General features: G+C 49.7%; 1 annotated feature.

The window, feature by feature from the left end:
* Positions 299–799: an enhancer, noted in NCBI's record as "NANOG-H3K27ac hESC enhancer chr4:25587429-25587929 (GRCh37/hg19 assembly coordinates)". NCBI's record gives its function as "activates a minimal SCP1, AML or CMV promoter by ChIP-STARR-seq in naive and primed H9 embryonic stem cells {active_cell/tissue: H9 hESC(naive and primed)}" and the evidence as "EXISTENCE:reporter gene assay evidence [ECO:0000049][PMID:30033119]".

Genomic DNA, 1987 nt, shown 5'->3' on the forward strand with positions numbered 1-1987 from the left:
CTTTTGAGGCCAAGAAATCTGTATTTTATTTATTTATTTATTTATTTATTTATTTATTTATTTATTTAATTTTTTGAGACAGAGTCTCACTCTGTTGCCCAGGCTGGAATGCAGTGGCATGCGATCTCGGCTCCCTGCAACCTCTACCTCCAGAGTTCAAGTGATTCTTGTGCCTCAGCCTGCCAAGTAGCTGGAATTACAGGCGTGTGCCACCACACCTGGCTAATTTTTGTATTTTTAGTAGAGACAGGGTTTGGCCATGTTGGCTGAGCTGGTCTCAAACTCCTGGCCTCAAGTGATCTGCTTGCCTCAGCCCCCAAAGTGGGATTGCAGGTGTGAGCCACTGTGTAGGGTTGAAATCTATGTTTTAATGAGAGCCCCTGAAGGTTCTGAAATGGAAGATCCACAGATTACCTTTGGAGAAACACTAACCTAGAGTGAATGGGCACAGCTTAAAGAAACTTTAATCCCGTCCGTGCCTACCAGGGCCCCTAAACAATGGGTCAGTCACAGCCTTTGTTGGTCACTGCGGGGACCTCCTGCTCCTGTTGTTTGGGGGTTGATGAGCTCATATCGTGAGCTGGTTGCTTGCCCAGATGGACAGAGCAAGGGGGAGAAGGCCAGAGTGTGAAGGGCCGACCTCGGTACTGGGACAGCAGCTGCCTGAGAAACAGCCCGTCCCTTCTAGTCCTGAGAGTAGCAGCAGGAAGCCCTGGCTTGCAGACCTAAGCTGGGGCTCCAGCTGTGATTCTTCCATTTCCCTCCCCAAGCCTTGATGTCCTTATCTGTGCAATGGGTCAGCATATATTTGTAGAGGATTCCACAAAGAAGTGTCTGTGGGTTGGGCATGGTGGCTCACACCTGCAATCCCCACACTTTGGGAGGCCAAGGTAGGAGAATCGCTTGAGCCCAGGAGTTAGAGGCCAGCCTGGGAAACATAGTGAGATCCAGTCTCTATAAAAAAAATTTTTTTTTTTAATAAAAAGAGGCCGGGCTCAGTGGCTCATGCCTGTAATCCCAGCACTTTGGGAGGCTGAGGCGGGCGGATCACGAGGTCAGGAGATCGAGACCATCCTGGCTAACACGGTGAAACCCCGTCTCTACTAAAAAAATACTCTCTACTAAATACGTCTCTACGAAAAAAATTAGCCGGGCGCCTGCAGTCCCAGCTACTCTGGAGGCTGAGGCAGGAGAATGGAGTGAACCTGGGAGGCGGAGCTTGCAGTGAGCCGAGATGGTGCCGCTGCACTCCAGCCTGGGCGACAGAGCGAGACTCCATCTCAAAAAATAAATAAATAAATAAAACAAAAAGAAGCATCTGTGGAAGCAAGTGTCAGGCACTGTACCCGACACATTTGACAGGGGGAGATAGAGGTTCCCGGTAACAATGATGGGTGCTTCAGGCACAGCACCCTGCACTTTACACGGATGAACTCATGCAATTCTCACAGCAACCACAGCAACCCCAAAACACAGCTACTATTTTTTTTTGAGATGGAGTCTCACTCTGTTGCCCAGGCTGGAGTGCAGTGGCACAATCTTGGCTCACTGCAACCTCCACCTCCCGGGTTCTAGCAATTCTCCTGCCTCAGCCTCCTGAGTAGCTGGGACTACAGGCACTTGCCACCACGCCCAGCTGGTTTTTTGTATTTTTTAGTAGGGACGGAGTTTCACCGTATTGGCCAGGCTGGTCTCAAACTCCTGACCTTGTGATCTGCCCATCTTGGCCTCCCAAAGTGCTGGGATTACAGGCGTGAGCCACTGCGCCTGGCCAGGAGCTACTATTTTTATCCACACTTTACTGTTCAGGAACCAGCACAGAGATGTGAGGCAGCTTGCCCAAGATCACAAAGCTAAGAGCCAGGCCATCTGTTCCTAAGGATTGTGTTCCTTACCAGTATGCTATTCTGACACTGGGGAGAGCCCTTTTCATTTCCTTTATTTTTTTCCTGCCCCCAGACTGTGTTTTGCAAGCATTTGTAAGCCA

Source organism: Homo sapiens, chromosome 4 (assembly GCF_000001405.40).
Source record: "Homo sapiens chromosome 4, GRCh38.p14 Primary Assembly".
Lineage (NCBI taxonomy): Eukaryota > Metazoa > Chordata > Mammalia > Primates > Hominidae > Homo > Homo sapiens.